The 26,580-nt window shown below is 40.8% G+C and overlaps 1 long non-coding RNA gene across 8 annotated transcripts in view, besides 1 other annotated feature; it reads right to left on the reverse strand.

Annotated features, from left to right (window-relative positions):
* LINC03007 (long intergenic non-protein coding RNA 3007) overlaps nt 1–26,580 on the reverse strand; it is a 196,819-nt gene that overhangs the window by 100,546 nt on the left and 69,693 nt on the right. The gene's annotated exons all lie outside the window — the stretch shown is intronic.
* Nucleotides 2,688–3,305: an enhancer, noted in NCBI's record as "OCT4-NANOG hESC enhancer chr7:25736154-25736771 (GRCh37/hg19 assembly coordinates)". NCBI's record gives its function as "activates a minimal SCP1, AML or CMV promoter by ChIP-STARR-seq in naive H9 embryonic stem cells {active_cell/tissue: H9 hESC(naive)}" and the evidence as "EXISTENCE:reporter gene assay evidence [ECO:0000049][PMID:30033119]".

A 26,580-nucleotide genomic window follows, 5' to 3' on the forward strand; every position in this document is an offset into this window, starting at 1 on the left:
GTGAGCCTCAGTTTTCTCATCCGTTAATAGAGATAATAATAGTACCTACCCCAAAAGAGTGCTGGAGGAAAAAATAAGCCAAACTATATAATGTGCTTACCTCAGTGCCTGGCTGATTGTATGTAACAAATGTTAGCTCCCAATGCCAGCTATTGTTATTAATGTTATTACCTTCTGCTTCTTTGCAAAATGCTGTAGATATTAAATGTCCTATAAATGTTGCTTAAAAAGCAATGATCTTCTCATTTCTCAGATGATGTTTTTATTTTGCCAAAACAAGATCTCATTTGACAACAAATCCCTAAAAATCCTGTCAATAAATTAAATATTGACATATTAAATGTCCCATACATATTAAATGTCCTATAAATGCTGCTTAAAAAGCAATGATCTTCTCATTTCTCAGATGATAAGTTTTTATTTTGCCAAAACAAGATCTCATTTGACAAGAAATCCCTAAAAATCCTGTCAATAAATGTTGGTGGACTGAATAAAGAGTCCCATATGGGAAGAGGTCATTGCAGATGTATGTTTATATTTAGGCATTATACCGGAAATGTTTTAGCTCCTCAGTGTAAAGAAAGACTATCATGATGTTTCTAAGGGCCAAATGGAGTGTTTTAACGTTTGAATGTAATGATTTGGAAATACCTAGATCTAAGACAACCCTAGCATGGAATCTTCAGTGTTAAAGAAAAAATTAAAACAGGTAGCATATCAGAAATGCAACAATAAAACAAAAATCATCCATCCAAGCCAGTTACTGGGTTTCTATCTCTAAGAGAGATTTGTGGCTTTTAAATGTTGTTTCTTTTTCAAGAGGATGATGTTTTTCTCTCTCTCCCACGAAAAATTTAATAGAGAAGAGGGAATCCCCAGTCCTCATCTTATTTCTTTATTTGGGCAAAAGTCGTGGCCTTCACAACCAATGACAGCGGAAACCTTTATGAAAACAGCACAGCCTTTTCAATCTCAAAACATTTACAGGACTATTAGATTTCAAGGAATGAAATAGCTGAAAAGTGACTACATTTGCCGTATTTCAAGCTGAGTGTGTAAATAACTAAGGTCAAACTCAGAAAACAAGGCTGGTAATTCCATGGTGACCAGCCAGACTCCGGTTCCCATCATTTATTCATATGTTGATAGACTTCCCCAGGAAGCCTGGGAAAATAACAGAAGTTACTCAACTTCCCCCAAGAGAAAAGGGCTTCATTTTTCCTTGGCAGATTCATTTCTAATCACATAGCAGGGAACCATTATTAACATCTGGATATTCAAAAAGAGCCACTGAATTATTATAAAAATGTTTCAAATCATCAGCCTAAAACTCAAATGATCTACAATGTGTATGATCTTTTTCCCTCTTTAGTCAAGAAGATAAATGGAGAAATTCTTTATATTTCAACTTTCATTACACATTTGTTTTTAATCTAGGAAAATTCATGTCTGCCTACTACACCTCCGTATCAAAGACTGATATGTCAGCATTGGTTTCTGCTCCTCCCACCATGAGCTTCTTTTGAGAACAGGTTTTTTTCTTTCTTTTAGAGACAAGGTCTTGCTCTGTCACCTAAGCTGGAGTGTAGTGGTGTGATCACAGCTCATTGTAGCCTCAAACTCCTGGGCTCAAGGGATCCTCCTGCCTCAGCCTCCCAACTCACTAGGATTACAGATGCATGCCACCACATCCAGCTAATTTTTAATTTTTTATAAAGACAAAGTCTCACTACATTGCCCAGGCTGGTCTCAAACTTCTGGCTTCAAGCCATCCTTCTGCCTCAGCCTCCCAAAATGCTGGGATTTCAGGCATGAACCGCTGTACTTGGCCAAGAACACGTTTTTTTAGGAGTGAGATTACTGCAAAAATTAGTTGGTTCAAAACAGCCACAGTCTACTACTATTACAGATTAATACTGAGTTATATTCTCTTTAACACAGTTACATGCTGTTAGGTTGAACAAGAATGAGGCAGATCAAATATCATGTTTAACCAGCCCCTTCCTCCTTTACACAGTTTTTAAAAATTTAATTGTCATGACTTGTTACAAACACACTCAGATATTTTGATGCCCTTTACCAAACCTCATCCAAGTCCTCAACATTAGAACCTGACAGCACTTGATAAATATGTAACACTTCTCATTAAAACGTCTAGTAGCTTCTCATTGCTCTTAGGATATTATACAAATTCCTGCCATGGCCCACAGGGCTCTGCTTGCAACCCCATCAAGAATAGGTCAGAGGACAAATGTGGTTCATGCCTACAATCTCAAAATTTGGGAGGCCAAGACAGGAAGATAAGGATTGCTTCAGTCCAGGAGTTTGAGACCAGCCTGGGCAACATAGCGAGAACCTATCTCTGCAAAGAAAAAAAAAATTAGCTGGACATGGTCATTCTCACCTGTAATCCCAGCTACTTGAGAGGCTGAGGCAGGAGGATTGCTTAAGCCTAGGAGTTCAAGGCTGCACAGAGCTGTGATCATGCCACTGCACTCTAGCCTAGGTGACAGAGTAAAACCCTGTCTCTAAAAAAAATTTAAATTTAAATTTAAATTTAAAAAGAATAGGTCAGGCCCAGGTGAAAAATGATGGACCATCCCCTCCAACCCCAAACCCACCCCAGCAAGGATGGACAGGCTAAAATCTTTGCAAGCAATATTTACTTAGGCAAAGCCCATTTCAAACTTCTTGCCCTACTAATGGCACCAACTTCCCACCACTGCACTCCACCTTCTGCAGGACCAGGCCCTCCTCACCCACCTAATCACCTGCTCCAGCCTCCTCTCCCGCCACACTGCCCATCTCTAGCCACCCTGAACCAAGACTCTGCCCAAGGTGCTTCCTGTGACTGTTTTTTCTGGCCAAATGCTACTTAACCTTAAGTCTCAGCATAAGAGTCACTTTCTTGAGGACATCTTGCCCAGCTCTACCTCATACACACTCAAGACTCCACAGGCATCCTTTGTCACACTCACCATAACAATAAATAGCTAACAAGCTATTGAAGTAGCCTGCTGTTCAATGTCCATCTCCCTACTTAGTCAAAAATGCAAAGATTAGGTCTGTTTGACTAGTGTAACCTCCCCAAAGCCCAGAATATAACTATATATAGGCGCTCAAAAAACATTCCTTCACTATGCGAGAGAGTTTTTAACAAGGTGAAACCCCTCCTGACTAAACTTCACATTCAGATGAAATTCAGTACAGATCAAAGAGTATTTCAGAGGGGAGAAATCTTTACAGTCTATTGGCTGTAAGGTACAGAAACTGAAGAGGCCAAGGGGTTTTGGTTGGTTGCAGACTTAAGAGGGCCAGGGCTCCCCAACATTTGTGTGACCCCCACACAACAGTGGGGGTCCCAAAACCACTGGTCTAAATATTTATAATCTTCAGATCGAGCTAACAAACAGTTAGATAAAATATGTCCTCTAGTCTTATCTTGAAAATATGCCTTCAAATCAATTAGAGGTCCAGATAATTAAACATAGTGAAATATAGAGACTTTAATCAAGTTGGGTTTTCAGCACGAAAATTATCCACATTTTAAAATTCTTGAGTAGGGGATAATCATTCTCTTCATCACATGCACACATACACACACACACACACAGAGAGAGAGAGTATGTAGTTATCCATTAAGAAAGAATGGTTGCCACTGTTTTGAAAAAAAAAACAAAACTAAGATTCATAGGATGCTCAGAATCCAGTTCTACTGAATTGCAAAACCAACATGTGTACGCATGGGAATTCTTGCCCATAAAGAAAGTGCTGCTCTCACTTAATCATCTCTCTTCTTCCATATCTACCCCAAGAAAAAGTCATGCTATGTTCCTCCTTTGTAGGAGGAAGTTTGTCAACTACATTCCAACTTTGATGGAAGTTGTCAACTTCCATCCTACATTTTCCAATATTCATCTTTGGTGCCTCCCAAAGAGTGGTATTATGAGAGAGTCTTTAGGTCTCAACCAACTAGCAGCAGTGTCCTGTCTTGTAATTACCAAGAGCATTTTGCACATTATCATGGGGTGAGGATCTCAAAAAGTGAAGAAAGACATTCACGATGTAGCACGAGTATACCTCGCACTACCACATGGATGTGATCTGACGCACTGTGTTCCTTCCCACTGACTCCCGCTTTCCTTCCCTTCGTCTTCCGTGCCTTTGCAGATTGTTCATCTGCATTTCTGACAGTGACTTTAACAAGGGTCTTTAATTTCATCCCTTCTCATTCTCTTTGTTAGGTAATTACCATAAACTGCATTCAAATACTCTATGAGAAACTTTAATATATGATTTATAATTAAATATAAAAAGAATATTAAATATAAAAGGACCCATGAATCCCTTTGAAGAGTGAAACAATCTATTGTGATGTGAACTAAATTACTAAACTATACTTGTTCTGTACAATTCTGTTTTTCCTGTGTTGTGATACAACCATACCCTGGAGAAGGCTTTGCTCGGGCTTCTGTTTGCTTACTTGCTACTGCACTTACTACTTTTTTGTAAAGACAAAAATATCTCAAAACGCTAACTTGGAAGAACCTGACATTCCAATTGTTTCACTGACAATATTGGTTGAGACATAAGGAATTACTTTGAGTGTCAATGTACCTGTGTTGATGAGAACTCCTAAATGTTTCTGAAGTGGCTTCCCAGGCTGAAACTTGCCGCATAACCAGTAGTAGAGGGAAGAAGGATAAAATTCCAAGGTGAAATGTATTAAACACAGACTTATTTTTCAGCTTCTCCTTTCGCTCCGCCTCCAGGAGAACTAATGCCTAATGATTCCAGGAAGTGAAAAGTAATTAAATTTCACCTGGTGTAAAGTTGAAGAAATTGTCCCATGTGAAAAGAATGTTTCTTTGCCACATTCCATAGATGGCAATAAACAGGCAAATTTCACTGGTTTTGATATAGCAGTATGAGCTTTCACAGGGCTCAGGTTGATTTCATTTTAAAAAGTTGAATTTATGGGACAGAGGATTGAAAGGTTTGTACTGACATGTTTAAAACCCTCTTTTAAAAAGTGGCATATTGCATCGTTCCATTTAAGTGTTCACACCGCAGACTGAAACATAATCTGTTTACTGAAAAAACAACATTTTATTGCCCTGTGAATAATTTCCCATTGAAAAAGAAAACAACTTACAGTATTTTAGTGCTTTGTGAAACATCTGGAAATTTTTCTTCAGTTGTGAAAGCTATGAAGAATTTGCATCCACAAATTACAAATTTTTAAAAAATGTAACACAGGAAAACTTCAAACATACTATTGAACCTACCTAACTTTGCTCCAAAAAAGCAAGTTTCCAAAGGCCCACTGAAGACACTCAGAGAAACAAGGCAACCAACTCACCTGAAGGCAAGTCTGGTTTCACAGAGAGTCCATTAGAGATGTTTTGCTTTTTTGTCCTCATTTTCTGAACACAACATAAAGTGGATTGTATCAGCTGTTAGGGTTATGCCAGGTGTTCAACAAATAAGCCCCAAGTTCCAGTGGCTTAGCATAGTGGGAGCTTTTTTTCTTGCTCACTTAACAGTCCAACGTGGTGTGCCAGATAAGGCAGGCATGGAGGTACTGACAGTGCCACCTCTGCCTCTGCCATCTTCAACAGGGGGCTTTCCAGCAAGGAGAAAGAGTCTGCGGCCTAGAAGTTGCCCATTAGGACAGGGACATTCCATTGGCTAAAACTGGACCATGTGACTAAGTGAGCTGCAAGGGAGGTGGAAACTGTAGACTAGTTGTCCCAGGAGGGACCCAACCAGCACTTTACAAGATTAAACTCTTTCTCCACATTCCAACATGGACAGTGCTTAGTACTGGCTTATCCAACCCTGACTGTGGGCTCTCTGTCAAGCACTCTGCTATGGGTACTGGGGTGTTTCTGAGGTAACACGTGGAGGAAAGCCACTTGACTTTAGACACTGTTTTGTGATATCAGCTCCTAAGCCTGCAGCGGTATCTGTGAAAGCTGTAAAATGGAACTAATTATTGAGATAGCAAGTTAACTAATTGAAGCTCTGCGAAGAGTTCAAGCTTTGGAGTTAAAAATCCTTTTGGCATTTTATTCTATTTTACTTTTTTCCCCTGAGACTTTTATTTTCCCACAAGGTGTGTCCGGAATTGGTTCCTGCTGGTGGGTTCTTCGTCTCACTGACTTCAAGAATGAAGCTGCGGACCTTCGCGGTGTTACAGTTCTTAAAGGCGTGTCCCGAGTTTGTTCCTTCAGATGTTCAGATGTGTCCAGAATTTCTTCCTTCAGGTGGGTTCATGGTCTTACTGACTTCAGGAATGAAGCTGCAGACCTTCGCAGTGAGTGTTACAGCTCATAAAGGCAATGTGGACTCAGAGGGAGCAGCAGTAAGCTTTATGGCAAACAGTGAAAGAGCAAAGCTGCCAAAGCTTCAAAGTGGATCGTTGAGCACTGTTGCCACTGCTGGCTCCCCTGGCCTACTTTTCTTCCCTTATTTGGCCCCACCCACATCCTGCTGATTGGTCCATTTTACAGAGTGCTGATTGGTCCATTTTACAGAGTGCTGATTGGTCTGTTTTACAGAGTGCAGATTGGTCCGTTTTACAGAGTGCGGATTGGTCCGTTTTACAGAGTGCGGATTGGTCCATTTTACAGAGTGCTGATTGGTCCATTTTTACAGAGTGCTGATTGGTGCGTTTACAACCCTTTAGCTAGACAGAAAAGTTCTCCAGGTCCCTACCCGATTAGCTAGACACAGAGTGGTGATTGGTGTGTTTACAGACCTTTAGCTAGACACAGAGCACTGACTGGTGCATTTACAGTCCTTCAGCTAGACAGAAAAGTTCTCCAGGTCCCCACCCAATTAGCTAGACACAGAGTGCTGATTGGTGTGTTTACAAACCTTTAGCTAGACACAGAGTGCTGATTGGTGCATTTACAATCCTTTAGGTAGACAGAAAAGTTCTCCAAGTCCCCACCCAACCCGGAAGCCCAGCTGGCTTCATCTCTCAAAGGGAGCTTCACGCAAATTTCAGACTCAGGAGCTTTGTGCAAAAACATCTTTCCAAAGTTGTAAGTGCTTCTTCCTATCCATCAGCATGGAATGTTCTTCCACTTGTTTGTATCCTCTTTTATTTCGTTGAGCAGTGGTTTGTAGTTCTCCTTGAAGAGGTCCTTCACATCCCTTGTAAGTTGGATTCCTAGGTATTTTATTCTCTTTGAAGCAATTGTGAATGGGAGTTCACTCATGATTTGGCTCTCTGTTTGTCTGTTATTGGTGTATAAGAATGCTTGTGATTTTTGCACATTGATTTTGTATCCTGAGACTTTGCTGAAGTTGCTTATCAGCTTAAGGAGATTTTGGGCTGAGACAATGGGGTTTTCTAGCTATACAATCATGTCATCTGCAAACAGGGACAATTTGACTTCCTCTTTTCCTAATTCAATACCCTTTATTTCCTTCTCCTGCCTAATTGCCCTGGCCAGAACTTCCAACACTATGTTGAATAGGAGTGGTGAGAGAGGACATCCCTGTCTTGTGCCAGTTTTCAAAGGGAATGCTTCCAGTTTTTGCCCATTCAGTATGATATTGGCTGTGGGTTTGTCATAAATAGCTCTTATTATTTTCAGATATGTCCCATCAATACCTAATTTATTGAGAGTTTTTAGCATGAAGGTTGTTGAATTTTGTCAAAGGGCTTTTCTGCATCTATTGAGATAATCATATGGTTTTTGTCTTTGGTTCTGTTTATATGCTGGATTACATTTATTGGTTTGCATATGTTGAACCAGACTTGCATCCCAGGGATGAAGCCCACTTGGATCATGGTGGATAAGCTTTTTGATGTGCTGCTGGATTCGGTTTGCCAGTATTTTATTGGGGATTTTTGCATCAATGTTCATCAAGGATATTGGTCTAAAATTCTCTTTTTTGTGTGTGTCTCTGCCAGGTTTCGGTATCAGGATGATGCTGGCCTCATAAAATGAGTTAGGGAGGATTCCCTCTTTTTCAATTGATTGGAATAGTTTCAGAAGGAATGGTACCAACTCCTCCTTGTACCTCTGGTAGAATTCGGCTGTGAATCCATCTGGTCCTGGAATTTTTTTGGTTGGTAAGATATTAATTATTGCCTCAATTTCAGAGCCTGTTGTAGGTCTATTCAGAGATTCAACTTCTTCCTGGTTTAGTCTTGGGAGGGTGTATGTGTTGAGGAATTTATCCATCTCTTCTAGATTTTCTAGTTTATTTGCATAGAGGTGTTTATAGTATTCTCTGATGGTAGTTTGTATTTCTGTGGGATCAGTGGTGATATCCCCTTTATCATTTTTTATTGCATCTATTTGATTCTTCTCTCTTTTCTTCTTTATTAGTCATGAAAATGGCCATACTGCCCAAGGTAATTTATAGATTCAATGCCATCCCCATCAAGCTACCAATGACTTTCTTCACGGAATTGGAAAAAACTACTTTAAAGTTCATATGGAACCAAAAAAAGAGCCCCCATTACCAAGTCAATCCTAAGCCAGAAGAACAAAGCTGGAGGCATCATGCTACCTGACTTCAAACTATACTACGAGGCTACAGTAACCAAAACAGCATGGTACTGGTACCAAAACAGAGATACAATGGAACAGAACAGAGCCCTCAGAAATAATACCACACATCTGCAACTATCTGATCTTTGACAAACCTGACAAAAACAGAAATGGGGAAAGGATTCCCTAATTAATAAATGGTGCTGGGAAAATTGGCTAGCCATATGTAGAAAGCTGAATCTGGATCCATTCCTTACACCTTATACAAAAATTAATTCAAGATGGATTAAAGACTTAAATGTTAGACCTAAAACCATAAAAACCCTAGAAGAAAACCTAGGCAATACCATTCAGGACACAGGCATGGACAAGGACTTCATGTCTAAAACACCAAAAGCAATGGCAACAAAAGCCAGAATTGACAAATGGGATCTAATTAAACTAAAGAGCTTCTGCACAGCAAAAGAAACTATCATCAGAGTGAACAGGCAACCTACAGAATGGGAGAACATTTTTGCAATCTACTCATCTGACAAAGGGCTAATGTCCAGAATCTACAAAGAACTCAAACAAATTTACAAGAAAAAAACAAACGACCCCATCAACAAGTGGGCAAAGGATATGAACAGACACTTCTCAAAAGAAGACATTTATGCAGCCAAGAGACACATGAAAAAATGCTCACCATCACTGGCCATCAGAGAAATGCAAATGAAAACCACAACGGGATACCATCTCACACCAGTTAGAATGGCGATCATTAAAAAGTTAGGAAACAACAGGTGCTGGAGAGGATGTGGAGAAATAGGAACACTTTTACACTGTTGGTGGGACTGTAAACCAGTTCAACCATTGTGGAAGTCAGTGTGACGATTCCTCAGGGAGCTAGAACTAGAAATACCATTTGACCCCGCCATCCCGTTACTGGGTATATACCCAAAGGATTATAAATCATGCTGCTATAAAGACACATGCACATGTATTTATTGCGGGGCTATTCACAATAGCAAAGACTTGGAACCAACCCAAATGTCCAACAATGATAGACTGGATTAAGAAAATGTGGCACATATACACCATGGAATACTATGCAGCCATAAAAAATGATGAGTTCATGTCCTTTGTAGGGACATGGATGTAGCTGGAAACCGTCATTCTCAGCAAACTATCGCAAAGACAAAAAAACCGAACACTGCATGTTCTCACTCATAGGTGGGAATTGAACAACGAGAGCACTTGGACACAGGAAGGGGAACATCACACACCGGGGCCTGTTGTGGGGTGGGGGAGGGGGGAGGGGGGAGGGATAGCATTAGGAGAGATACCTAATGTAAATGACGAGTTAATGGGTGCAGCACACCAACATGGCACATGTATACATATGTAACAAACCTGCACGTTGTGCACATGTACCCTAGAACTTAAAGTGTAATAAAAATGTATATATTAAAAAAAAAACCAAAGTTGTAAGTGCTGATGTATAGGCACAATACTTAGGCTTCAAGGACATGCAGTGATATCAGCCAATTTCCCTCAAGAACAGGTCCACCTAGAAGGTATAAATGAAAATATAGATAACTGAGGGGGATATTTGCCTGTAGATTCTTTTGCCCTTGTGCCCCAGTTTATGAAGCAGCCTTTTTCTGTGCTACCATCAGACACTCTCCTGCTTCGTCACCCTATGGGAATTGTCTGTTTCCTTGTCAGCCTCCTTCATTAGACTATAAATTCTGTGAGGAAAGGGATCCTTGATACCTCATTTAACCCCAGCACATGCCAGAGTCTGTAGCTCCTGATAGATGCTTGTTAGGTATTTGTGGAATAGGTACGTTAGAAAAAGTGAGAGCCAATCCCAGCACTTTTGGAGGCTGAGGTGGGTGGATCATGAGGTCAGGAGATCGAGACCATCCTGGCTAACACGGTGAAACCCAGTCTATACTAATAACACAAAAAATTAGCTGGGTGTGGTGGCGGGCGCCTGTAGTCCCAGCTACTCGGGAGGCTGAGGCAGGAGATTGGCGTAAACCCGGGAGGCGGAGCTTGCAGTGAGACGAGATTGTGCCACTGCACTCCAGCCTGAGCAACACAGCAAGACTCCGTCTCAAGAAAAAAAAAAAGAAAAGAAAAAGTGAGAGCCATAAGATATAAAAGAATCAAAGAGCTACTAGTGTTCTAAAGAGGGAGCAACATGCAGGGGGTCGGGGAGGAGGGAAGGTTTCCTGAAGCATTTGAAGTGGACTTTAAAGGAAGGATAGAGTTTCAGCATGCAGAATCTCCGGGATGGCATTGCAGGCAGAGCAGCGGCATATGTAAATGCTCAGAGGTGGAAAGGCAAAGATGTGTTTGTGGAATAGTCAGTATTCTCGTTTATCTTGCGCCTAGAGTATGTGGAGGAAGGGATAAGAGTTGTGGCTATTCCAGAAAGAGTTTTAGCTCTCGGGCTGGTAAGCATCTATTTAATTCTGTGGGCAGTGGGGAGCCAGGTATCTTGGTACCAAAAGGATCAATTTACTAAGTGGGTAGGGGGTGGAATATGTTGATGCGAGGCAGGAAGAGGAGAGACTTCGTGGAAGGCATGATAACCACCCAGGTGAATGGTAGGGCCCTAAATAAGGAAAATGACAGTGAGGAGGGACAGGACAGGAAGAGTTCAGGGCATAGGGCAGAGGGAGAGCCAACAGCTCTTGAAAACTGGTCACATTTTAAGGAACGATGATGAAGGAGGAGTGCAAAGTGGATGACAATACCGTGTGGCCATTTACAGAAGGAAAGACTTTACAAGAAAGAACTGATTTGGTGATTCAGGGCAAGGTGAAAAACTGGGTTTAAGATATTTTGAGCCTTGGGAGGGGCAGGGCAGGAGTTAGGGAGATGAGACATCCAAATGCAACCAAGAGGGAGTTGCAATGCAGAGCTGTTAGGTGGGGGTGGGGATGGGGGAGAAGGAGGGCCATTTGGCCCAGGCCTCATATTCATGAATTTCTCAAACTGAGACTTTTGACATTGCCTTTAAATGAGTGCCATGATCTGAATGGCTCCTAAAATTCATAGATTAAAACTTAGTCCCCATTGGGGTGATATTAAAAGATGCGGCCTTTTGGGAAATGATTAAATCATGCCCTCATGAATGGATTAGTGCCTGATAAAAGAGCTGGAGGGAACTAGCTTAAGGCCTTTTTGCTCTTCTGCCATGTGAGGACACACAGTTCATCCCCTCTGGAGGAGGCAGCTACAAGGCGCCATCTTGGAAGCGGAGACAGGGTTTCACCAGACACGAAACCTGCTGGCACTTTGATTTTGAACGTTGTAGCCCACAAAACTATGAGGACTAAATTTCTGTTATTTGTAAATTACCCAGTCTTAAGTATTTTGTTATATAATAGCAGCACAAATGGCCTGAGATGATGAGTTAATGTATACAGTCCTTGAATTCATGTGGGTATTGAAGTTTGATAAATACAAACTTTAAAAATACCACAATTTTGCAGCTCTATTGATATATTAATTTAGTGCTCTAATATACATGGAAATGTAAAAATATTATAGAAGTGCCTTCTAAGAACACTGACAAGGGATCCTCTCATAATCTGCATTTACCTCCAATTGTAGCAATATTTTCACTGAGTTATAACTGCTGCCTCCCTGTCTGTCTTCCTGCCTGCATGAGGGATAGAATTGTGTTCTGCTTAGTTGAAATTCCAGTAGCTAATCTAATCTCTGGCTGAAAGAAGGTTACCAAAAATTAAATAATTTGGGAGGGATAGTAAGAAAGGAAACTCATCTATATTGAAGTAAAATAAGTACAGACATCAAAGTGGAGAACAACTTTATAGAAGAAAACAAGTATCTTCCCTTCAAAAAGGGCAACAAAACAATCTTGTGGTATTAGTAATTGTAACTAACATATGGCAGCTCTCAAATACAAACCAGGCGCCATCTTTTGTGTGAAGCTTCCTGACATTATCAGAGAAGTTCTGTCCAACTCAGTGTTGGGGTTGGGGAAGAGGAGAGGAGAGCTATCAAGGGGAATACCACCCAGTTCTTTTTAGCATCTTGGATTCCACTTTTGAGCTCATAGAAACTTTTCCAGAGAAGCTCTCTGACCATCTTTTCTATTTCTTCCTTTGGCTCCAGAGTGAGCATGGATTAAGAGAAATAAAATCAAGATCTGGGAGATTTAAGCAGATCTGAAGACGAGAGAAAAATAATCCTGGCTATTTTTCTTCCCCAGTAAATCCTGGGCAGAATGTTTCGAAAAGAAAGAACATCACATTGCCCAATTATTACAAGAATATACTTCTGATACACCTGTTCTACTTCTCAAAGTCAACTTTGATGACCTTAATTTTATCTACACTACAGTATAAATTTTCACTGAGATCTTTATCTCATCCTGACACCAATTAGCACATGCATTTCAGCAGAAGAATCTACAGCAATTTAATACATACCTTCGAAGAAAACAAAACGCTAATCGAAATGAAGACTGTCCCAAAACCAACTGAACAGGTGTGCATTTCCATAATGGCTGCACAATTCAGCAACCAAGTGGTGTTTGCTGCTTTTGCTTGTGAACTGAATTAGTAATCTTCACATGCCCTGTCCCGGTGATTGAAATAAATTACTTTGTTAAATTGCGAAGCAGGTTGACCCATCTGTTGGCCCATGAATGTTCAGATTCTCAGAGGGTTTATTATTCTAAATAATGACTGCCATATGCAGCAGTAAACAGTTCCTTTAAAACTGACTGAAGGATTTGGTGCTACTTTTGAAGGCAATTTATAAAGCTATTCATGTTCCTCTAAAGGATCTGCCCTGCAACTAAACTTCCAGAAAGGTTGTCTTGATCTGTTAATCCTGACAGAGACACCTTGTTCTCTTTGGAGAGGAAAGAGGAGGGAAAAAACAGAAACATAAGTTCCAGCAGCACCTACTAAGTGTCAGGTGCCGGCACATATGGTAGCACTGCCCTGTGAAATCTCACAACAACTATGTGAGGTGGATATTATGATCCCGGAGAAAACAGGAGATCAGAGAGGTTAAGTGACACATCCAAAGGCAACTGCTATGCTGGGGAACTGGGACTCGAACCCGGTCCGCCTGGCTCCATGACACATTGTGCTGTCAGAGCATCTGATGAAAAGTGTTCACACTGGGACTCGCAGTGAGTGATAATTCTTTTGCACAATTCAGATCCATGGGAGAAAAGAAGTAAAAAAAATTTTAAAAAAAGTTTATGCCACTGTTCTGATTCTACTTAATTCAAACTGTTCTAATCATGCTTTCCCCCTCTTTTCTAAAGTATAAGCCCCACTATTCCCTCCCTGATATTCTCCTTTAAGGAGGAAGAAGGCAGAGCTCTGAACTCTCATTGGTAAGAATCGAATAGGAATGTTTCAAAGACAAAATTCTGTGAGCCCTCTTCACATGCAGCTTTCCTTACTTCAGATCATCCTCATTTTCAAATCCCTGGGAAGAATGCAAGCTCTGCCCACACAAGGTCCATAAACTGCTCAGACCATGAACCAGCCATGATTTGTTTGTGATGTTAACAGTGACTCGTTGTGGCTAGATTACAGATGTTAGATTGCTGATGGATGGCCCAGAGCCAGCACATGGTCGGCTCTTCTGGTATTCAACTGCAAAATTAATCATGTGTGGAAAGGTACTTTTTTCCATCTGTGAAAAATGAAATGGCTAATATACAGTATGGAATGAGTGCCCTGGAACAATTCCTTTCTTAACGGGCAAAGAATAAAGCTATTAAAAGAATAAACTCCTGTATGTGACATGATGACAGTGGGATTTTTTTTGATGAGCTAAATGAATAAACTCTCTCTCTCTCCTTTGATTTATGCCAGCGCAGTCTCTCAAAGCTTCAAAAGGCAGAAAGCACGTTTGGAGATGCCGATGGTCTCTACTCTCTTTGTTTAAAGGGAGTGAGAAGCTATGATTGGGCCAAAGGCAAGCGTCTGACAGGCAAAGACCTGAAAAGGTCAGCACCCAAGTGCTCAATCACAGGGAAGAGAAGGGGTGCCTTGGGGGGTTTGCCAGAACCTTTGGTTAAGGAAGCTTGCCCTCATTTCAACAACCCCCAGGCACCTCTGCATGGGCCGAGGCCAGGCCCTGCCTCTGTGGTTGGTCTCCTCCCACGACCAGAGGAAATTAGACCTGTTCTTTGCTGTCAGCTTAAATCCTTAGGAGGGGGCTAGAAATTAAGATTGTTCTTCACTCTACCAATGATGGAACCAAAAGAAACAAAGCCCACATTGAGAAACTTAGAAAAGGCTTAACATATACAGTGAAAATAAATTCCTGGCCAAGTACATTGAACATCAGAAAAGATCACCCAGGTAAAATGTAGTTGGGTTATATAATTAGTTTATTTAAATCAAGAGCAAGGAATACATGTTCAGAAAAGCATAAAACATCAGACAAATCCAAATTCAAAAAAAAAAAACAACAACAAATTCAGAAATATGCTACAAAATAAGCAGCCAATACTCTTTAAAATTGTAAAAAACAAAGACTAAGGAACCGTTACAGATCGGAAGAAAGGAAGGAAAGACAATAGCTACATGCAATGTGAGATCACAGGCTGGATCCTGGACCAGATCAAGAACATAATGGCATAACGAAGACACTCATAGATTAATTAATGGCAGTTAACCATCAACCTGCAAATTGTTAGCAATGCTCTATCAGTGTTAATTTCTTGGTTTTAGATCATTGTAGCATGGTTATGTAAGATGTTAACATTTGGAGAAATCTCTGTAGCGTTTTTGCAACTTTTTTGTAAGTCTGAAATTATTTCAGAATAAAAAGTTTTGTTACAAGGCACTGATGCAGAAAAGCCTACAATGAGAAGCAGCAGCCCAGGGGTCACTGTTTCTCCATCCCAGTCCTATTCCCCATATGCAGTCACTTTTATCTCTTTCAACTGTTTCTTCAAATAGTTACTCATGTATTGCTAAATAGTATGCTTAAAATACTATTTCTTGATTTATTAATTTTATACAATAACTACTGACTTCACACCATGATGGGTAAGAATTTAGCTCACTTTCACCAACTTTTAAATTATTTTTCAGGCTGGGCATGCTGGTTCATGCCTATAATCCCAGTACTTTGGGAAGCCAAGGCGGCCGGATCACATGAGCCCAGGAGTTTGAGGTGAGCTTGGGCAACATGGCGAGACCCTGTCTCTACAAAAAATTAAAAAAGTAAAAAAATTAACTGGGCATCGTTGTGCATGCCTGTGGTTCCAGCTACGTGGGAGGCTGAGATGGGAAGATTGCTTGAGCCCCAGGAGGTCAAGGTTGCTATGAACTGTGATCACACCACTGCACTCCAGCCTGGGTGACAGAATGAGACCTCATCTCAAAAATAAAAACAAAAATAAATTAAAAATAAAAGGTAAAAAACTAAATTACTTTGAATTAATTTTAGACTTTTTGAAAGAAGTTGCAAAGACCATAAAGTCCCCAATTACCCTTCACCCAGCTTTCTCCAATGTCAACACCTTCCATAACCATGATACAATTATCAAAACTCAGACATTAGCATGGTCTAATTCTGTTAACTAAACTATAGCTTTTGTTGAGATTTCTCTGATCTTTCCAGTGCTGTCTCTTTTCTGTTCCAGGATTCCATCCAGGACACCATATTGCACTTAGTTGTCATCTTCTCTGGTCTGTGACAGTTCCTCCATCCTTCCTTGTGTTTTGTGACCCTGACATATTTCAAAACAGCTGGTCAAATATTTTGTAGAATGTCCATCAGTTTGGGTTTGTCTGATATTTTCTCGGGATTAGATACAGTTATAGATTTTTGGAAGGAATGCCACAGAGGTGACATGCCCTTTGCAACATTTCAGGGATATTATATCAATATGTCTTATTATTGGTGAACTTAACCTTGATCACTGGATTAAGGTAGTATCTATGAGACTTCTTTAAGGAAAAGTTACTAATTAATTTCTCCTTTTCATTAGAAGCATGTCATGAAATCCAGCTCACATTCAAGGGGAGATGAATTAAACTCCAAGTCCTAGAGAGAGATATATCAAAGAATTTGCAGACACATGTTAAAACCACCACAGTAATACACAAACATTTTGGGGAAGACACTCTGAGGCTACATAGCTATCCCACTTCTCTTTAAAGTTTCACCCACTATTCTTAGCATTTCTTGGTGGATATTGCCGCGGTAATCACTATTGTGAGGTTCTTATGGCAATTTTCAATTTCCCTCATTCCATCATTTCTTAACATTATTTAATATATGTAAGTAAGACTTGTTCCTTCTCCCCATGTATTTATTTAAACATGTATTTATATCAGTATGGATTTATAGATATTTGTTTCATTTGGGGGTTATAATCTAATACTGTCATTGTTGATTTTGCTTCTCAGATTTTCTAGGTTTGGCCATTAGAAACTCTTTCAGGTTGGATCGTGTGTCCTTTGGATATGTCCCATCCTTTCCTTTTTTTTCTTAACCACTTCTTTAAATTCTGGCACCATGAGATGCTCCAGGCTCATCTTATGTTTTCACTGCCCCAGCCCTAGAATTAGCCATTTTCCCAAGAACATCAGGTTCCTTTTATTAGAGAATAATGTTTAGAAACCAAAATCTGGAGCTAAGTGTATTCATTGCTCAAGGATGTCACTGATCCTAGCTCTCAGTGAACAACATTAGGTTATGTGTGTATGTATACTAACCCATGTATATTTACTTCTGTATCTGCTTAGCTGTATATGTATTAAAATAAACATGACTTCATACGACATCTCTGACTGCAATCCAGCACCACAGAGTTTATTCTGGCATTACTCCCTTATTTATCTGTAACTTCTTTTCAAATAGACAATCATGTTGTCTGCAAATAGAGACAGTTTTGTTTCTTATTTCCCAGTATGCATGGACTTTCTTTATTTTGCTTTTCAAGCTCACTGAACAGTGATGAGAGAGGAGATCCTTGCCTCATTCCCAATTTTGGAGAGAAAGCTTCCAGTCTGTCACCATTAAGTATGATATTAGCTGTATATTTTTCACAGAAGACCTTATCAGGTTGAGAATTTCCTTTCTATTCCTGATATGCAGAGAGATTTGTCTTGAACGAATGTTGAATTTGTTAGATGCTTTTTCTGCATCTATTGAGATGATCACATGACTTTGCCTCTTTGATCTGTTAATATTTTCCCATTTTTCCCAAAAATTTCCAAATATTTTCCCAACTATACCCGTTGATTGTGAATGTTCAACCAGCCAGGCTGAATGGTCCAGGTTCATTCCTGGAATGAACCTTGCTTGGTCCTGATATATTAACCTTTTTCTATATTATTGGGAACAATTTGCTAATATTTTACAGAGGATTTTGAATCTATATTCATGAGAGATAGTCTGGGGTTTTCTTTTCTTGTATTGTCTCTAGTTTTGGTACTAGTAAGGGTAGAGTATAGAAATAGAAGAGGAGATGGTGGGGAAATACCTCTAAAGACTGCCTATCACTTTAGAGATTGAATAAGATAAAAATCAAGCCATCAGATGAAACAAAGTGAAGCTGAAATATATAAATTTAACAATGTAAAAAGAAACATGAATTCAAAACATTGATACTCACACAATTGGTCTTAAAACCAAATTCTGTCCTTCCCTGAAGAACAAATGGAGCTTGGGTTAGCTGGCTCTGGCAAAGCCTGTAGCCTTCCTCTCCCTACTTTCCACAATTAGAACACTATTGGCCAAGGTCCTTTTGGATCAGCTGCTATATAATGTTGACAATAATGTCAACTGCACTCTCCTGGAACTAACTAATTAAATTTCAAAGTTTAATCAAAAGAAAGTGTACATGTTCCCTATTAATATGCTGACTTTTTTGGAAGTTGGGTGAATGTTAGCTGCACTTTCAAAATAAGCTAGGGATTAGTATACAAGATACACCGTGAAATTGAGGCCTAGGCTCCTAGAATAGAAAGCCAGAAAATATTGGCCTGAATATAGTGGGTGTTAATAAATATTTGTTGAATGAATATATTTAAAACTTGTTGTACTCGGAATGATTGTCAAGACTCATACTACTCAAATTTTCAAGATTCTCTGTTTACCAAAACTAAAATGTGGATTTTTCTTAAAAAGTCTCATTCTCTTCTACTTTCTATCCAGTTGTGTCCTAGAGGAAAACTTACCCCATTAGTTTCTCGTTTGATCATACTTATGCAAAGTGTTGTTTGTCAAAAGTCCAAAGTAATATTTTATTCACATTTGTCTCAAGAGCTACTATACTGCCATTGTCCAAGAGCAAATGAGGTCACAGCCTACACTGCCTGCTCTCAGTTTCAAATTTAGAACAAAAGGATTCTCTAAAAGTGTGGCTGTTTCCCAAGACCATCCAGCAGTGAAAAATTGGTCTGAGAGCCTAAAATACCTGCATATGCATAGCAGCTGTTACTTTTTGTTTCCTTTGTGCCAAGCACTTTGCTAAGCTGCTTTTATACATATTATCTCACTTAATTCTCACAACCAGCCCATGTGATTGCTGTCAAAAGTGTCACCTTGTTCATCTTATCTTGTTCAGAAAACTGCATCTCAGTGCAGGAGGTGAAGGGCACCTGAGATAACAGTTTCCAAAATGATGCCTCAAATCTCTAGCCCCAGCAAAATTTTTATCATTGAGATAACCATGAGATAATTACAGCTTAGATTTTGCTGATAGTTCAGAAGAAACCCCAGTTTTGAATGTAAGCAGGAAGAGGAGGTGAGTAGGGAAGAAGGAGACTAGAAACTAATATTCATTGCATGCCAATATCAGTGACTGGGATGGAAACTTTATATTAACTCATTCAATTTGCACAAAACTCCAGGTAGATATTATCCCCACTTTACAGAGAAAAAAAAGCTGAGGTTTAAGGCTTAAGAGGTGGAGGCAGCCTTCAAACTCAGGTCTGTCTGACTTCAGAACACATTCTCTTTCAATACATATAACACGCTTCCCCATTTCTTCTTGATGGAAAAAAGCAGCCAGTGGTTTAGATTGTCATTCCAGTTCCCTATATTACTACCTCTTGAATACTGAAAAATTGGTTCCATATTAAGAGTGGTGAAAACTTTGGTGGCCAAATAGAATCCTTTTTCCAAACACATAGTTTTAGTTGTACCCAGAGAAAGGTTACATTAGATGCATCTCATGCCTTTTCAGAGTTATTTGTTGAAACTTATAATCAAATTAGACATTGATAAGTCTTTGCCAAGAGTTTTCAACTGCAAACTCTATGAGCTCAGAAACTTTATCTTGTTCATAATTTATCCCCATTACCTAAAATATTGCTTAACTAACAGCAGGCACACAACAAATATTTATTGGGGAAACCAACGTTTTCAAGTACAATAATCCAGGATTTAGCTTACATAGTGCCATCTGTCATATTTAATAAATAGCTTCTCCCCTGTGTGCATGTCCTATGTGTACCCTGAGGTCATAGTCTAAAGAGGGAAATCTTTCCCCAAACCGTAGGACTGGATAACAGCAGCAGACAATATCCCTGGTAATGTTTGCAGCTTAATGCCTGGAATGTAGAAAATGCTCAGTAAACATTTGTTGACTTAATTATTGATGAAGAAGACCTACACCTACTGAATGCTTACTCTTAGTCCGACAGTCTACTTGCTTTATCTCATAAAAGCATCCTACGGCAGTTCTATAATAGCTCCCTTTTCATAGAAAAGCAAAGTAGGATTTAGAGAGGTTAAGTAACGTGCCCAAATTAGTACAGTTATTATGTGGCAGCACTGAGATCAAACCAGGACAGCCTGATTTCAGAGTTCTCAGCCTGAGTCACCCCATAGCACTTGGTGAACTTGCCAATCCCACTCCTCCCTCAAGGCCTTTGCTCTTCTCTCCCCTGGATCTTTGCACAGCTGGCTCCTTATTCAAGTCTCTGCCCAGTGTCACCTCAGAGACCTTCCCTAACGACTCCCTACTCTGTCTCCGGATCCTGTTAGAGTGCCTTCACAGCATGACCCACCATCTAACATTCTCTTGTTTATGATTTGATTGCTATCAAGTCCCCCAACCAGACCTTGAGCTTCATGAGATCAGGGCCTTGTCCATCTTATTGGCCACTGTGATCTACAGTATGGTGCTGAGCCTAGGACATCAAGGCCCTTTCTAAATATTTGCTGAATTGCTGAATGACTACTGCAGGCTGGATAACCCCTGGTGTGTTAAAGAGGACAGTTCTTTGCAGGCCAGTCTTCAGAAGAGTGTCTGGTGCATGACTGATGCTTCTCTCCAAACCTATTAAGCCCAATTCCCATATTAATGCTTCTCTGCCATTTTGAACAAAAAAAATAGATTTATATGTGGGCCAATTGAGCAAATGTTTTCTGCAAAGAGGAAGGTTCAACGACTTAATGATTGTAGCATGCTCTATAATTTCTCCAACAAAGACACTTTGCTGAATAAAAATAATTTCCACCCCTCTCATATTGGAGCCATACCCTACTTAGCTTCTAAAGACCAAAATGTCAGTTGTTCCTGGTTTACAGAATGCTTCTCCACTGACAGCCTTAAACTTTATGTATCTCACAGGATAAAATCCAAGGAAAAAAATTTATTACAGAAAACGCTCTCTGGCCTGGGTCCAACATTTGATGATGGAGAATATTAATAATATTGCTTGGGCTTGACTCTCTTAAGTCTCTCACTTCCCCCAACACATGTCTGAAAGAGCTTGATATATGTGACACACATCTTGTTTTCAACCTCCGTCAGTGAGCTAGTTACCAGCAGAATTGTTTTGCAGATCTCCAACCAGTTTGAGACCTCCCACCTTGCTGCCAGGTTTGTTTCTTCAGAAAGTCTGGCCGTTCTGATAACATCACCCTCCTCTTCATCCACCCCAGCTTTGTGCTTTCCAACCCAGTCACTTGGAATCACTCTGAGCTCACTCACCTTGAGGTACCGTACTCCTTGCTTAGAGTCGCTCTCCCCCTACTTATGTCTTCCTCTCCTTCTTTTTAAAGACTCACATCTGCATTCCCACCTCCTCTTGCCTGACATTATCCCCAGTCCAGGCTCACTCACTCCCAAATACTTCCCAGGTTAAGTCAGATGCCCTTCCTCTAAAAGAACTTTATACAGACACGTGACTTAATTACTTACAATACTCTACTTATCAATGGGCTCCTGGCATGTCTGCTGTATCCTGCACATGACAGGTAGCTCCTCATAAATGGCTGGGAACTGAATTTATCCTGGCTCCCCCACCTCACCTTTATATTATCTCATTTAATTTGTACAAAAGTCCAGGTAGACATTATTCCCATTTTACAGAGGAGGAAACTGAGGCTTAAGGCATAAGAGGTGGAGGCAACCTTCAAGGTCAGGTTATCTAAGAGGAAAAAAAAAATCATTCTCCTCTACTCATTCTTCAGAAAGTTGATTTCACTCATCAAATAAGAAGGCAAGATTTTAGTTCCTGATGTCATTCTCCCAAATCTGTCTCATGATCTACGGTCACCCAGAATCATGGTGGGTAGAGGTGATGGCCTCAGGAGCAAAGAACAAACACATGGACATCAAGAGCATGAAGGCATTCCTTGGACAGAAAGTTTCTTACACTCATATGCTCCTATAGGTCATTATGCATGAACCAAAAAAAGGACCAGGATGGGCAAGAATCAAGGAAGCTTCCTTGTTTTTGCCCAGCCTTCATCTGACTGAAAACATACCTGCATGTATAAGCTTTCCCTTTAAATCACTGTACCCATCTCCAAGACACAAAGGAAATAATAATTGTGTCCTCTGTAAGAAATGACCATCTAGTAAAAAGACCAGTGTCATTTATAGCTTGCAGAATGAATTGCTCATGCAGCCACCTGCCAAACATAGTTTAGGATAGCATAGCTACCGGGCATATTGGTATGCTTTTTCCTGGCTGCCACTATTTTAGAAAACATTTTGAGAACTTGTCCACCCTGGACTCATTGAAGACATTTTATGGTAAAGTCAGTTTAGGCAGAACCTCCGTCTGGGACCATGGCCAGGCTCTGCACACCTGGCATACTTCTCGCCACTTCCTAAACCCTCTCAACCATAGGGCCATCATCTCTTACAGCCTCCAAGGAATCACCAATGTGGACTTCCTATCCCAGGCTTCCATTCTCCATGCCGCTATCTACACGTAAAATATAGGCTAAGAGGCAGCGTCATACTTAGAGCCCACAAATTCCTCCCCTGACCTACTTTACCCACTGAACCTCGAGAGCCCTCAGCAAGACTCAGTGCTGAGTCACCACACACAGCCTGCATCTCCCATGCCTTCCTTCCTGGGAATCTTATAAGGAATAGTGATGTGGCATCAAAGAAAGGTACCTTCCTCCCGCTCCCATGGTTTTGCTACTTAACTTGGCCAAAATATGTTTTCACAGTCAGTCTTAATGATCTGACTTCCCAATGGACTGCACCAAGTCCAAAAATACAAAATACAAACAATACTTCAAAGTGGCCGGGCGCAGTGGCTCATGCCTGTAATCCCAGAACTTTGGGAGGCTGAGGAGGGCAGATCACCTGAGGTCAGGAGTTTGAGACCAGCCTGACCAACGTGGAGAAACCCCGTTTCTACTAAAAATACAAAATTAGCCAGGAGTGGTGGTGCATGCCTGTAATCCCAGCTACTCGGGAGGCTGAGGCAGGAGAATTGCTTGAACCCAGGAGGTGGGGGTTGTGGTGAGCCGAGATCGCATCATAGCACTCCAGCCTGGGCAACAAGAGTGAAACTCCATCTCAAAAAAAAAATTTTACAGAGGAGGAAACTGAGGCAGGAGGCTGAGGCAGGAGAATTGCTTGAACCCGGTGGGCAAAGGTTGCAGTGAGCCAAAATTGTGCCACTGCATTCCAGCCTGGGCAACAGAGCAAGACTCTGTTTTTTTAAAAAAAGAATTTCCACAGATTATTCACTCCACAAATGCTGTTGTCTGTCACCCTGTACTGAGCACTGTTTGAGGTGCTAGAGATGCAATGAAGAACAAGATATGTAAGGCCCCAGCTCCTACATTCTAGAGACAGGGATGGGCAGAGACAAACAGTAGTCAAGGAAATAAACCAACATGATCATATCACAGAATGGCAAGTATTAGGGCAGAAATATAAAAAGGTGATACAATAGAAAGTGATTAAATCAAGAGTGATTGGCAGGAGCAACAGGAGTGATAGTAGCTGGCTAGAGAAAGCCTCAGAAGGAGGTGATGTTTTAAAGGGTACCTAAATGACGAAACACTTGACCAAAAAAAGGGCCAAAGGAAGAGAGGAAAGAGGGTTATGGTGATTTAAAGAGAAAACTTGCACATAGAGGTATGTTTTCAGTCAGATGAAGGCTGGGCAAAAATGAGGAATCTAGGCCTTCCTTGACCCTTGCCCTTCTTGGTCCCTTTTTGGTCCATGCAGCTTTGCTGCCTCTCAGCATTCATCCATTGAAGGCTGAGGTCCACTTAGGGACCAGTAATGGCAAGGGTTATAGAACATCATATTTAGTGTAAATTACATACAGATGCTGAAATAGAAGGTTTATCATCTCACATACTGTGAAAAACTCTTCCCACACCTCAGTATGAAGGATGCTTGCATGGTGATGTGCACTGGAAAGAAATATTCAAGATGCTGTCTCCGGGGAATAAACTCTTAAGACACTGGGAACCATGTTCATAGCATATCTGGGGAAAGAAGATCAGAAACTGCCCCTTTGGTCTGCATGAAACAGCACCTTTTCTGAGAGCAAAACAAAGCAAAATTCCTAGTGACCTAATATAAAGAGGAGGCTTATAATTTATATAATGAAAATATAAATTATGTTATAATATGATAACTTAGTAGAGGTACATGGTTATTGCTTTACAATATAGTCTCTTGGAAAGAAAGCTGAGGTCGTTATACCAATATGGAAAAACAAGTTCATTCTTTCCCAGTGGTTAACTATAAATGTTTTCTTTATTAAGCAAAATATCCACGCAAGTGTTGTTTTCTTCATTGTTTCAAGGTCAGCAAGGCTAGGAACTGATTAGCAAAAGCAAGCAGTGTCTCTCAGACACAGGAGGACAGGCCAGATGGGGGTAAATATTTTTCAGAACAGCAGATTTTCCTCTACCAGCAATCTTTGGGGAAGAGAAGGGAGCTCCTGGGACAACTATCAACACAGTAGCAGCCTGGTGCATTTTCTTGTCCTCCCCTGGAGACCTATTTTCTTTGCAAAACTACTGTAATTTTAATGGGCTGCCATTTGCTCATTAAAGTCACCTGGGAATTTAGTCAGCATACGGACCACAAAACAGGACCCTGTATAATGTTTAGGATTTTGTCGTTTAATAAAACATTTTATAAGCTCAGTGCGTACCTATTAATAACTGCACTTCTCTGGGCTCAGCAGCCTACCCTGTGGTCTACAGTGCAGTGCACTGACTACTATAGGTGAGTTATAGAGAGATCTTTTCCCAAGTTCCCATTTGTCTTTATTATGACACTCAAATAGCAGATGATGAGCAATCAGTCATTGTTAAATTCCATCCCTGGGAATTGAACCAGGCTTGGCTTCTTTTCATTCAAAGTCTTCTTGCAGGCGGCCTCCTTTGGAAAAGGGAGGCCCTGAGCTTCTGATCCCATGGAGGGATTTATTATCTGCTGCAGAGGAGTGAGTGAATGAGTGTGTGTGTGTGTGTGTGTGTGTGTGTGTGTGTGTGTGTGTGGCTATCACCGATGGAGCAGTTCCTAAAGGCCAGTCCATGAATTGGCCCTGTCAGAATCTCCCAGGATGAGTGACAAAAACAGGCATTCCTAGTCCCCAGCCCAGACCCACAGAATTATCCTCAAGGACAAGATCCAGAATTGTTTGAAAACCAGTGCCTCCAATTTTTTCTAATACACAGCCAGATTTGGGAGGCACTTGGAAAACAGAATATTCACCAGATCAGATGTTCATCAGATCAAATGTTCACCAGATCTACATACTCTGTCTGCATAGTGGAATAGTTCGCTTTTAACAAGAAAAGTGAAAACAAACCAAAACACAGATGCTGGTGCATAGCCACAGAATGCATCTCAGAGCCTGACCCTCCCATTCCATGAGTGCTGATCACAATAGTGGAAATGTGAAAGGTGCCACACAATCAATCAACATGGGTAGAAAACTCAAAAAAGACACCACTTACTAACAGGCATTGTTTTCTTGCACTTATTACTTATTTCTAGCATGTTTTCTCATTTTACCTTCAGTTCCTACAACTATGGGAGAGAGGGCTTACATAGCCCCAGGTTCCACATGAGGCATGACTCAACCCTAAGAAGAAAATGAGTCCCCAGTACAAGAAGGCAAGGAAGGTGGCAGTGTTTGAATAGCAATGGGGATGAGCTGAGGGTGAGGTCGGCCAGAGAGCAGGGCCCACACCAGGGACAGGCAAGAGAATGCACACAGAGAAAGTTTCCACCCGGGCAGGTGGCGGTGGCTCACACCTGTAATCCCAGTACTTTGGGAGGCGGAGGCAGGTGGATCACCTGAGGTCAGGAGTTCGAGACCAGCCTGGCCAACATGGTGAAACCTCGTCTCTACTAAAAATACAAAAATTGGCCGGGCGTGGTGGCAGGTGCCTATAATCCCAGCTACTCTGGAGGCTGAGGCAGGAGAATCGCTTGAACCCGGGAGACGGAGGTTGCAGTGAGCTGAGATCGCGCCACTACACTCCAGCCTGGGTGACAGAGTGAGACTTCATCTCAAAAAAAAAAAGAAAGAGAAAGAAAGTTTCCATCCTTTGACTACCTTGACTATGTTCCATTGACATATTTCTCAGGGCTTTCTTTAATATCTTCTCACCATAAATACAACAAATCTCAAGTCAACGTATCCTAAAATTTGTTGAGAAGGCACCACTTTTTGAAGTTTGTGCTTAGGGAAAGCAGTTGTTCCTTTGAAAAAGCCCAGTTTTGTTTCTGATTGGGAGGTGGGCATTGGGAGGGGAGCACACGCCCCCGAGAGTTCCTAAGGGAAGAAAATTGTGACCAAAGGAAATGCCCCAG

Source organism: Homo sapiens, chromosome 7 (genome assembly GCF_000001405.40).
Source record: "Homo sapiens chromosome 7, GRCh38.p14 Primary Assembly".
NCBI lineage: Eukaryota > Metazoa > Chordata > Mammalia > Primates > Hominidae > Homo > Homo sapiens.